Source organism: Homo sapiens, chromosome X (genome assembly GCF_000001405.40).
Source record: "Homo sapiens chromosome X, GRCh38.p14 Primary Assembly".
Classification (NCBI taxonomy): domain Eukaryota; kingdom Metazoa; phylum Chordata; class Mammalia; order Primates; family Hominidae; genus Homo; species Homo sapiens.
In genome coordinates, this window is record NC_000023.11 from 137,566,085 (window position 1) to 137,578,153 (window position 12,069).

General features: G+C 47.8%; 1 protein-coding gene across 2 annotated transcripts, besides 2 other annotated features; it reads left to right on the forward strand.

Moving 5' to 3' along the window:
* On the forward strand, positions 43 to 11,607 carry ZIC3 (Zic family zinc finger 3). 2 transcript variants are annotated; one of them, NM_001330661.1, is made up of 3 exons: positions 43 to 1,667; positions 2,818 to 2,981; positions 11,038 to 11,607. In NM_001330661.1, the coding sequence occupies exons 1-3, from the start codon at positions 608 to 610 to the stop codon at positions 11,185 to 11,187; spliced, it is 1,374 nt and encodes a 457-aa protein (NP_001317590.1). In that variant the 5' UTR covers positions 43 to 607; the 3' UTR covers positions 11,188 to 11,607. The 2 variants fall into 2 exon arrangements, with proteins under 2 accessions (NP_001317590.1, NP_003404.1); NM_003413.4 differs by lacking the exon at positions 11,038 to 11,607 and adding an exon at positions 3,807 to 6,018.
* Positions 444 to 1,029: an enhancer, noted in NCBI's record as "H3K4me1 hESC enhancer chrX:136648687-136649272 (GRCh37/hg19 assembly coordinates)". NCBI's record gives its function as "activates a minimal SCP1, AML or CMV promoter by ChIP-STARR-seq in primed H9 embryonic stem cells {active_cell/tissue: H9 hESC(primed)}" and the evidence as "EXISTENCE:reporter gene assay evidence [ECO:0000049][PMID:30033119]".
* Positions 9,582 to 10,132: an enhancer, noted in NCBI's record as "NANOG-H3K27ac hESC enhancer chrX:136657825-136658375 (GRCh37/hg19 assembly coordinates)". NCBI's record gives its function as "activates a minimal SCP1, AML or CMV promoter by ChIP-STARR-seq in primed H9 embryonic stem cells {active_cell/tissue: H9 hESC(primed)}" and the evidence as "EXISTENCE:reporter gene assay evidence [ECO:0000049][PMID:30033119]".

Genomic DNA, 12,069 nt, shown 5'->3' on the forward strand with positions numbered 1-12,069 from the left:
CCTCCCGCTCGGTTTATGTGCGAGGAGTGAGTGATTGACTTTATCAGTCCAAGGACATTACTCTGGAGGCGAAGAGGCTGGGACTCGCGCGGCGAGCGGCAAGCGGCGAGTAACGAGCCTGCCTACTGCCCGCTGCCCGCCTGCCCGGCCGCTAGCCGGCTCCGCCACTTGGCGCAGCCCAGCCCGGAGGCCGGTACCCAGGGAGCCTCCTGGCCCCGCGGTTCTGTGCACTCGGGGAGAGGAGGGGTGCCCGGGACAGGATTGGCAAACTCCGCCCTCCACTTACTATTTTGCTTATTTTTCTTTGTGCGCGCCTGTTAGTTTGTTAAACCAGATCTAGTCCGAGTCTTTTCTCCTCCCTTCTCCTCCCTCCTCCTCCCCCCGCCAACACCCCCTCCCTGCTCTTTCTTCCCCTCCTCCCTCCTATCCCTCTGCAGGAGACTCTTGCAGTGACGGAAAGTTGCAGCCCCTGGTAGCGCCTTGGGGGTCTCCCCGCAGTGTCCAACCGCCGCCACCCCTTTCCGACTACGGCACTTCGGAGATCTCCTCCTTCGCCGGTACCCTCTCTCACTTCGGCCGGATCGCCTGTGCCCAGAACGTCCCACCCATGACGATGCTCCTGGACGGAGGCCCGCAGTTCCCTGGGCTGGGAGTGGGCAGCTTCGGCGCGCCGCGCCACCACGAGATGCCCAACCGTGAGCCGGCAGGCATGGGGCTGAATCCCTTCGGGGACTCAACCCACGCCGCCGCCGCCGCCGCCGCCGCCGCTGCCTTCAAGCTGAGCCCTGCCGCGGCGCACGATCTATCTTCAGGCCAGAGCTCGGCTTTCACGCCGCAGGGTTCGGGCTACGCCAACGCCCTGGGCCACCATCACCACCACCATCACCATCATCACCACACCAGCCAGGTGCCCAGCTACGGTGGCGCTGCCTCTGCCGCCTTCAACTCAACGCGCGAGTTTCTGTTCCGCCAGCGCAGCTCCGGGCTCAGTGAGGCGGCCTCGGGTGGCGGGCAGCACGGGCTCTTCGCCGGCTCGGCGAGCAGCCTGCATGCTCCAGCTGGCATCCCCGAGCCCCCTAGCTACTTGCTGTTTCCCGGGCTGCATGAGCAGGGCGCTGGGCACCCGTCGCCCACAGGGCACGTGGACAACAACCAGGTCCACCTGGGGCTGCGTGGGGAGCTGTTCGGCCGTGCTGACCCATACCGCCCAGTGGCCAGCCCGCGCACGGACCCCTACGCGGCCGGCGCTCAGTTTCCTAACTACAGCCCCATGAACATGAACATGGGAGTGAACGTGGCGGCCCACCACGGGCCCGGCGCCTTCTTCCGTTATATGCGGCAGCCTATCAAGCAGGAGCTGTCGTGCAAGTGGATCGACGAGGCTCAGCTGAGCCGGCCCAAGAAGAGCTGCGACCGGACCTTCAGCACCATGCATGAGCTGGTGACACATGTCACCATGGAGCATGTGGGGGGCCCGGAGCAGAACAACCACGTCTGCTACTGGGAGGAGTGCCCCCGGGAGGGCAAGTCTTTCAAGGCGAAGTACAAACTGGTCAACCACATCCGAGTGCACACGGGCGAGAAGCCCTTCCCATGCCCCTTCCCGGGCTGCGGGAAGATCTTTGCCCGTTCTGAGAACCTCAAGATCCACAAGAGGACCCACACAGGTAAGGGAAAAAAGCAGGCGGGCGTGGGTTCCACTGGCGATACCCCGTCACGCAGCGGACTTAGAGCGCGAGGGAGAGAGGTGGCGGCCAGGGAAAGGGGCGACGCCCCGCAACGGCCGCTCGAAAAAGAAGCGCTGTCAGTGACCATCCACCCCTAGCCCTCCCCGTCCCGTGGCGCCTTTGCCGAGTTCTAACTTCCCGGGCAGACTGCTCTGCGGTCTCAGGAACTAATTGGGACCTTCTCGCGCCCAGGAACAAACTGGCGCCGCCTCTTTTTGTCTCCCTTTCTGGGTTACCGTGAAGGGACTCCGAATGTGTTGAGAGCATATTGCTTACAAGCGACTTAGCTCTCGGCACACATTCGTGGAAGGCAACCATACAAATGCTAATGAAAACTAACTTTCGGTTACTTCCGCTTTTTTTTACACTTGATTGGCACATCTCCTAATTAAATGACTGATACTTTTGTCAAACTATTTTTATTTGGAGTTCCAGGTTCAATTCAGTCCTCCGGGAGGAAAGCTAAAGCAGTTTCGTGGTTTGTTCAGAACATCTTGTAAAACTGTCTGGAGCCCCCTGGATCGATCGATCTATCTATCTATCTATCTATCTATCTATCTATCTATCTATCTATATTTTTTTCCTCAAACATTAACTACGACTACCCAGGCTTTTTAATATCGGGCTTAGCCAAACCGCTGCATTTGAAAGAGGCAAATAAAAAGGTACAAAGAGGCTGAACGGGATTGTCCTGTCCGGGGCCCATTGTCCCGCCGGGCTCGGTTACATTGCTGAGGTGGTGGCGGAACGTGGCCGCGCATTGGGAGCCCTGGGTCGGGTAGGGTGGAAACACAACTTAGGGGAAACTTCGGAGGAGCCAGGGGCTTTCCCTCCTTGCAAGAACAAAGACATGGTCAGGTTTTGGGCCGGCCCCGCCCCACCCCCACCCCCACCCCGACCACCACTCCCAAACCCAGCGGGCTCAACCTACGCTCTTCATTTCTCTCCAGGGAAAATAGATGCAGCAGCAGCCCCCAGTCCGCGCTCCCTTTCCGGGAAGACCGCCGGGAGCTCAGTCTCCTGCTGCTTGCCTCTGAGAAACTCCGGCGCTGACCGTATTTTACCCCCCTTGGGTTTTTGCCTTTTGCAGGTGAGAAACCTTTCAAATGTGAATTTGAAGGCTGTGACAGACGCTTTGCCAACAGCAGCGACCGTAAGAAGCACATGCATGTGCATACCTCGGACAAGCCCTATATCTGCAAAGTGTGCGACAAGTCCTACACGCACCCGAGCTCCCTGCGCAAACACATGAAGGTAATTACCTCTTTATTAGCGGTCGGCGGTTTGTAAACACTCGGCCCGACGCCGGGCCGCGGAACGGAAGCGCCCGCGCTGCCAACCCTCTGTCTTCCACGTTAAATCCGATTTGCTCCAGCAGTGACACCTTGAACCCATTTTGGGGACCGGGCGGGGGTGGGGGTGAGGGGGTGGGCGGGAGTGAGCAAAGTTGGGAGGGGGAGGAAGCGGAGGGAACAATCGGTTGTTTACTGGGAAGCTCTAGCCGAGCTCGCCTGGGCTTGCGGGGCTGCCGTGGCCGCCTCTTCCCGACTCAGCCCGCGGTGGGAACCGAGAGTAGCCGCGCCGAACCCGAGGGTGGGTGGTTCATTCGCTCTTTGGCTTCGGATAAAACAATAGGGCCGAGGAGTGCAATCTGATTCCCACACATTTGTCTGCGACTTCGCAGCGCTCAGGGCCCCTGTGCCACCTTCTCTGTACCTGCTTTCTCAAGCCGAAACGGGCTTGGTGAAACCTGGGCCCGGAGTTAGTATTTTATAGGACCTCACAGTGTACTGCTTACCTCACTCCATCCGCGGAGAAAGCATTTTTGAAGTGGCATGACCAAAACGGAATGCTTTATTCCTTTTCCGTAACACCAGTCTTAGGAGCAAAACTGGTTTTTGGCGAACATCTCCGGGTTTTCTAGACATCGGTAATACGGATTTTTTTTAAGCAGCATTTTTCTTTTAAGTGGGTCACTGGGCGGTCTTGTTGTTACAGTGCTCGAATTCTGCTCTTGTTTTTGCTTGCACATTGCCAGTTGGAATTATATTCATTATAATATATACATGTTAATTTTAGGTTCATGAATCTCAAGGGTCAGATTCCTCCCCTGCTGCCAGTTCAGGCTATGAATCTTCCACTCCACCCGCTATAGCTTCTGCAAACAGTAAAGATACCACTAAAACCCCTTCTGCAGTTCAAACTAGCACCAGCCACAACCCTGGACTTCCTCCTAATTTTAACGAATGGTACGTCTGAGGACAAACACAAACCCTGTTAATTATAGAATGGACCAAATACATTTTTAAAAGAAAACTGAGACCAATCAGATGGAAATGGAGTTTTAAGGCAAGAGGCCATATATAGGGCTACATCTTGTTAATTGCAATTGTCCAGGAAGGTTTTGGGCAAGATCCAAAAGTAGCCATGCCCTTTTCTCAGGATAGAAAATATGTTTTGGCATTTGAAGCATTTTTTACAAAATCTTTACACTACTTTTTCTTCCCCTTCCTCTTGCTCTCTGCACACCCCATTCTTAAACTCCTCCAATTCATTTTAACACTTGTCCTGTTTCTTGAGAGGAAGTTATAGAAGGCTTGTTGGTGGTGGTGATGTTAAACTGATGGAAATTCTTTTTCGCCTTAGTGGTGATTGTTTAAACTCTCACAGTCTTAAACCGTGCCAAAGTCCTGTTATGTCTTGAACTTTTCCTCAAAGCATTACACTTGTGAATGTATTTTTGTCTAATAGGGTCGAAACTGTTGTTCAGTATTTTTTCAGGCTGAGGATGTGATGTTACTCTACACATTGTGACGTTTAGTATACAGTTGCCTTTTGTAATAACTTTTTTTTTGTAAATACATATCCATTGATGCCATATTTATCGTTTGTAATTTAATTATTGCTACAAGTGCCGGGAACTGAACAATATTTATGGATAAATGTTTTCTAACAAATTCTGTACAGCTTTTGATTATAACTGCTTTAGCATTAAAAATTGTTTTGAAAGAAGAACACAATTTACAATTTTGGAACCACTGACTCCTTTCTCTTGTTTTGTAACAGCCTTCTTCTACAAAGAGGAGATGTGAGCAAATTAAATCTTGTTTGTTGGTATTTATAACTCACTCAGATCCCTTTTTTAATTGTTAAATTATTTTTCTATTACAGTATAAATTCCTTACAGTGTCAGTTTCCATCTGGGAAGACTCTCCTTTCTTTATCTCTATCTCAGATGGTTGTTTAACTGCGAGTTTAAATGTGTTTGTCCTGGATTTTCGGCATGCAAATCAAATATTACTGATCAATTCAGTTAGTGGCCATGACATCTCAATCTTGTACTTCAAAGACTGAGAAGCTGGATTTAATCATCCCTGCCCTACATATATAAACATAAGGTAACCTACTGAATTTTATGTCCCTTAGTTCTTTATTACCTTACATAAAAATGAAAATTGCGGCAGGATGCATGTCTGTCTGTTCTATCTAGAGATCACCCATATACCTATATATGTTTGTATCTATGACTTATCTAATCTGCCTATCAATCTATCTAGTAGCTATCTATATATTTTCAAAAGATAGCTTATGTCTAAAACAGTGGTGATGAGTAAGGCCAGTTGAGCATTGCTTACTTATGGTTAAAGTGCTTCTTAAAAGAACCATAGTCCATTTACAATTTTGGAAGGCAAAGGCTGATTTGTTTGCTGTATATAGTTCAATTCATAATTATCGCAATTATCCATAACATTTATATAGCGGTGTAATAACTGCAGCAGTTCTGAAATGATGCTATGGGAAAAAAATTGCAAAATATGTATTTTTAAAGTTCATGATTTGTAGGCAAAGATGTTAAGAGCATTGTTTCCATTAAAATCAATAACAATGAAAAACGGTTGTTTGCTTTGTGATAAAATGTTAACAATCCATTTAATCTTCAGTGAAGCAACTCATTTGGACAAACAGTTCTTTTACAGTGGTTATATGGAAAAGAAATTGATTGCTATTTTGGGGGGCTGGAGTGGGTAGAGTATTGAGACCTTTTTTATTAGGGTGCTGTTTGTTATTGAGAGCCCAATCTCTGCATGAATAACAGAAAGGTGGACATAAGGAATTGTAAAGTATTTAGAATGTATTGAATAGGCTTAAGTACCTCCTTTAAGGGGCAATGCTCTAGGTTTTTGGTGGCAGTCAATTTGGTATTATATATGATCATTTTCAATTCTAGAATTTTGTTTATTGTTCTTTTTGAAGAAATAAAGTCTTGGCACATCTTATTTATGTTATAACATTTTTGTATTTGGTGCCTGATTTTTTTTCATGTTCAAATAAATCAATCTAAAATTGAAATGCTTACAGAACTTCTGATGATTAAAAGAAACTTTGATTCTGTGAATGCGGTTGAAGCAGTCTATTTAAGTTATCTACTGATCTTTGTCAACAGACAATTAGTTATTGACAGTTTCTAATTGCAAATTGCTTTGGAGGCTATTTTTTGTTAGTGGAGAATAATGGGGTCTTTTGCATTTTCTTCCACCAATATCCAAGCCTGAATGCCATGAACAGAGATTGGGATGACTACACATGTGATGAGCAGGTAACCTGGTCAGTCTATCACTCCCAACCCAGACATTCCGATCTTGACCTTGACATTGAGGGTGCTGGACCAGATTCCTATTTCAGGCTTTTTCCTTCACCTCAAACCAGAGACCATTTTAAATGCTCAGCAAGTTCTCAGAAAGTATATATTCATAAGACTGGCTCTAAGTGTGTTCCATTGTGAAATCTAAATAGTGTATTTTTCTTCTGAACTGTACAATGAACTTCCATAATTTACCACTTTCTCCATGAGTTCCCTCCCCCACCCTCAATCTAACCTAACTTTACGTGGAAGTAGAGCCATGGGTTGGATACAGGATTCAACCAAAAACCTGCCTCCCTTTCAATTAAATGTATTAAATATCTCCTGAGACAAAGAGCAGTTTGATCTTTTCTTAGTTACCTGAAATTATTCTACCATAAAATTTTACAGGAAAGTACTTGAGGGTCCTAAGAGGGGAAGATATCAATTAAATGAAAAACAATTATGATAACCAATATTAGGAGAATATAAAAGTTTTGCCCCTGTACATGATTACCTCTAATTTGGGTGTAGCATGGTATTTCTCAAAATCACGTCCTCCACCCTTGTCATCTGTGGTAAAGAAAACTCCTTATTTTGATAGAAAGCTTTTCACAGATTTCCCCCCTATAATCTGGCTCTGGGAGTGCACATTTACACTCTTGAATATTCAGTAAACAACCTTAGAGAGTAAGTACCCCCCCCAAAAAAAAAAAAAAAAAAAAAAACCAAACAAACCAAAATCATCAATGCTCAAGCCCGAGGCATGGGCCAGGCTCTTAGGAATCAACTTGTTACTTTCCCTCTTGCACCTTGTAAGATCTTTGTTCAAAGTCCCTTTTTCAAAATGAGTGATTTTGCATAAGATTCCCACTGTTAGGCAAAAGGGAGGTGGCTATTTCCACGCAAGACAGAAGTTTGGCCTTCATCCAGCTTTAGAAGGTTAAAGATCAGGACAGGGTCCACGCTAAGCAGGCCGGTCGATCTAAATTACTAAAGTTGGACATGAGTGAGCAAAGACCTCCGCTCACAAAGCATCCCAGGAAAGTTGGAGTGTTCAGGACTTCCTCGCTCCTCCCCCTTCTCCCTTCTCCCCGCCTGATGTCTCTGCCTCTTCGCCCTGGCTCTCTCTCCCCCTTCTTAAAAAACTCCCTAAAACAGAGGAGCAAAGTCGAAGGGCCTCTTAACATGTAAGTTTGTGGAAGAATCGCCAGCAGCGTGCCCATCGCCTGAAAAGAGAGGTTATCTTGGCACCTAGACTGCTTTCCTCTCACAGGTTTCTGTCCCTCGAGTCCCAAGCCTCCAGTGGATCCTTGGCCGGGGCCGGGGCGGAGGCGGCGAGGCCAGGCGTTTCGGAAGTCGGGGCTCCAGCTCAGCTGTCCTCGGGCCCCTCGTCGGGGCTCCCAGGGTCCCTGTCCACACACCAAGTTCTTGCAAGTCTCTGTCGAGGCTCGGGCGGGGGGGGAAGGGACCTCATTTCCTAGGGTCAATTCTCTCGCGGTCTCTGCCCGCTGACCCTTTGACCTCCACCTACAGGGCCCTTGGCGGCCGTAAGCCGGCGGTCGCCCGGGCTCCGAGGACGCTTCGCGCCCCATCGCCTCCCAGCCTCATTAGGCCGGCGGGGCTGTAAAGCAGGAATCAGCCTCTGCCTAATCCGGACCTGGGGTCAATACGAGCCCAAACAATGGTGAGCTCCGAAGGCCACTGCGTAGCGCTGGCCGCAAACTTTGTGTTCAATTCAATTTTCTAAAGCGGTGGGGGTTGGGGGCAGGGAGGCATTCGTCCACCCGAAAGCCGCTTGCGGCTCCCGGGGCTCATCAGCGAACGTCCTCTCTCGCTCGGCCCCTCCAGCCTTTTCGCAGCGCCTGGGATAGAGGGGGCGGCGAGGCCTGGGGACTGGTTGTCGGCCCGCGCGGGTGCCCAGGGGCTGGCGCAAAAGGGGCCGCCCCCGTGCCGGGAACAGACTTTGAAGTGGGTTTTTAGCGCGCACGTGTGAGAGCCGGGCCAGGGCCGGAGCGGGGACCCGCTGGGAGGAAAGAGGAGGCTCCGGCCGGGGCCCCAACCCCTCCCCCGCTTCCCCGTGGCTCCGGCCTTTTCAAGCCGCGGCCGGGGGCCCGTAGGCCTCCCACACCCACCCCCACTCCCGCGCCCTGCCCGCGCCGCGCGCAGGCGCACACTTCGCAGCCGTCGAGTCGGATTTTGCAGCGAGGGGGTTGGGGATAGAGTTGAAAGCCGCTTTGCAGTGCCGCGGCCTCGGTCGAGCTGGGAGGGAGGGGAGGGGAGGTATGTGGGAAGGGGGGCTGGTTTTGGGGCGGCTCTCGAGTCGTGAACATGGCGGCCGGATGCGAACCCCCGCGGAGCGCAGCAAAGCGCAGCAAAGGCTGCAGAACTGTTGCGTAGTTTAAACTCCCTTGTTATTCCTCAGTTCTGGGCGCCTCGCGGGGGAATGTAGGTCGTGGCGGTTGAGCGCAAAATTGTTAAAAAAACGGAAGCGAAGAAGTTCTTCCTGGGCATTCTCCTGGGAAGTTGGCGTGTGCTTTTTGGGTTTGGGGTTCCCATGGGACTTGGACAAAAAACCCGCCAGAGGCCTCCCCACCCACCTGGCCCGACCTAAAACGCCCCCTCCGGGAGCTGCCATGGCTAGGGGATGCCATTTCGAGTTATCAGGCCCCGGTCGGGATTCCACAGAACCTTGAGTCCCTAAAAATGCCCCAAGAGCGGACAGTATGTTCTCTTCCAGGACAGTGGCGAAGCCTATGAACACGTAAGCACCATTTTCCAAGAAAATGCCCCGGCTGTTAGACAAATGTGCCATTGCGAGTTCGACCCCTACACGTTGCCCAGGCTCCGTTTTCTGTATATCTCATTTAAACGTGAGCCTATGAAAATTGGCACTGTAGCTTTGGTGTGTGCCTTAACAGCTGGTGATCTTATGTTAAGGGGAAAAAAGGCCAGAATTCCGAAAACTTTAATTCAGCTTTTGCTTAACTGCCTTAATGCTGGCGTTGAAAGAACCCCTGGTAGCTCTGGGATCTCGAGCTCGTGTTTTGTCCGTAGAAAAATGCTTCGGATTCACCTTCAGATGTGTCTTTTGTGAGGAAAAAAAAAATGTAAGATTTTAAAAAGTGTAGTAATTGAACCTCAGCTCCTCTAGGAAAATAAGCGGCACGAACTCTTCCAGGTTGGGTCTTCGTGGAGACCAACGGCCAAACGGAAAAGTCAGCCCTCTTGGGGTTGTCCAGTGTCACGCATTTGGGCTCCTGAAGGTGTGGGGCAGTTCCCGTGGGCCACCTTGGGAAGGGCCCCAGGTGGGTGGGCAGGTCATTAGCAAGGCTGGCCCAGATCTGGGGGGAAATCTGCAAAACAGTGCCTTTATCTGCAGAGAACAATTGATGGGGTTGTCTTTCCTCCTTTTCAGTGCACAAAGAAGACGGCTTTGGAGCAAGAATTTGGAATATGCATTTAAGTTGTCGTGCTTTGCATTGGAAACCCATGGGCAATTAAAATAAGCATGCCCTGTAGTATTTTCTGTCCTTTTCTTATGTGTGATTCCTGCAAGTCAAAGGAGGCCGGAGCCTCTTCAGTAGTTTGGAAACTTGTTTTGAAATTGCCACCAAGCCGATTTTTTTTTTTTTTTCTGTGGGTGAAGTTTCCTTCCCCGGTTCACTCACTCCCCCATTCCCCACCCCCTCGCTGGAATAGAGTATTGACATCTTTGAGAGATCAAAGGAAGTAAATGGTGCTTGCTGTATACTCTATTTTTCCATTCTGTAGTGTGAACCCTGAGGTTTGAGCTTTTTTCTGGTTAAATCTCTTGGTACCAAAAGTGTGGAAAATAAAAAGTTCATTAAGTTAAAAAAGCTTTAGCCAATGGTTAGACGGGTTTGTCCCTTTAAGAGCTACAGAGCCCAGATCGTCTCTTAAATTGACTTTAAAGTCGAGCTAAGATGCATTGGTGGACTGTTTCCCCTGGATACCTGCGGTGTTCTTTGGGTCATTTGACATGGTAAAACTGGTTGATTTTTATAGAAGTTATGTGAATGGAATTTCTGCAAAACCGGGCAAGTGATAAATTGGTAGAGCTCTTGTATTTGTTTGGATGACGACTCCAAAGGGTACTGCTTTTTTACCGAGGTTTGATTCTGTCATAACCATTGAAATTTACAGCTTGGAAAACACTAAGTTTGCTGGAAGCATTTAAACCAGGGAATGTTCAGAGCACTTGGACTAATGGTAACTTTTAACAGACGAACATAAATCCTTTGAATATTAGAGAAACTTGTTTCAAAAAATCTGTTGAAACTGAAGAAAATCTCTTTCATTAACATTTAACAAACCAAGCAGTTTTGTATATTTTTAATCTGATGACAGTTCAACCTATTTACACATCTGATGAATGGAGAGAAATGTAAGCTTTATAGTAACTATAATAATAGCTTTCACCAGATGGCAAATTATAATATTTGATCTCTAATAGGGTGTGTGTCTTGTGTCATATATTTTATTAAAATACAACCTGCGTCAAGACCATTTGAATTTGAGGTGTTAAAAATAAAACATTCCATCGTGTTTTATTATAAACCAGAGTTTAAAACAACATATTCATGTGACATTTTATGACATTCTTTTCTAAGAGGAAATGTGGCCTGTTTTGACCTATCTGCAGTTCACTTTTTGTTTTTTTGCCAGTGTTGTCCTGCTTGGTATCCGGGACAGTCTCTAATTCCTGACGAAGAACTTGATACTGACGTTGGTATGCAGCAGCCAGCCCTCCATAACACTACCTATCCTAAATGCAGGGTTAATGCCGAACCTACTGTGCAAGAAATGATTTACTGATGAGGTTTCAAAGAAAACCACATCAATTTGGATGTCTGTTACCTTGAAGTGATCATTTTAAGAGTAGTAGCTTCTTCCCTAGGTATAAAAAGACTATTTTCTTCTTTTGGTGTATTTCATCCTGTGTTGAGCAATCATTTGTGAAATGAAAAAGCAAAAAAACTCCCCCCACTTTAGGATTTATAAATGGGAAGATGGAGGTGAAGACTGGCCTAATTCATAACCCAGTATGCATTATCTCATGCATTGTGTTGACCTTGGTGAAAATCTTTTTCAAATACCAGCATTCTATATGTAGAACTAAAGTGTTTAAAACTAGAAACATGAATTGTTGTTTTGTTAATTTTATGTTTGTGTTCAGAAAGCAATACCCAGGATCCCTTTAATTTTTGTTTGACTTAAATAAAACCATTTAAATTATTTTTGTGATTATTGTTTTATTAAAATGACAGTAGCCCCTAAATAACTTTGATTAACCTGTTGACTTGGGACAATTTACATTCAATTCACATTTTTCACGATATAGCTGGACTTTCACTAGGCAATAAATGGGGGTGGGGGGGAACCGGCCGAACAAACCCCAAACAACTGTTTTGAACCCACAGTGTTTTCCCAGAGGGGTTCAAGGCCAGGTGTTGGGAAGGCCAGGGGAAGAATTCAGAGTCAAGGATTGATTGGAGTGATTAGAAGAAATGAAAGGATGCAGGAGTCTGGAGGGAAAAAAAGAGCATTTGAACACCAATATATGGGTGAGAAAGAGAGGGAAAGATAAAGCTGAAGATAACCTGAAAGGTGAAGAGAGTGCCTCTGTGGCATCCAGGGAGGAGACATTGCAGCATTACATATATATTATTCAGAAGCCCTGAAGTGGTTTTTGGGGCA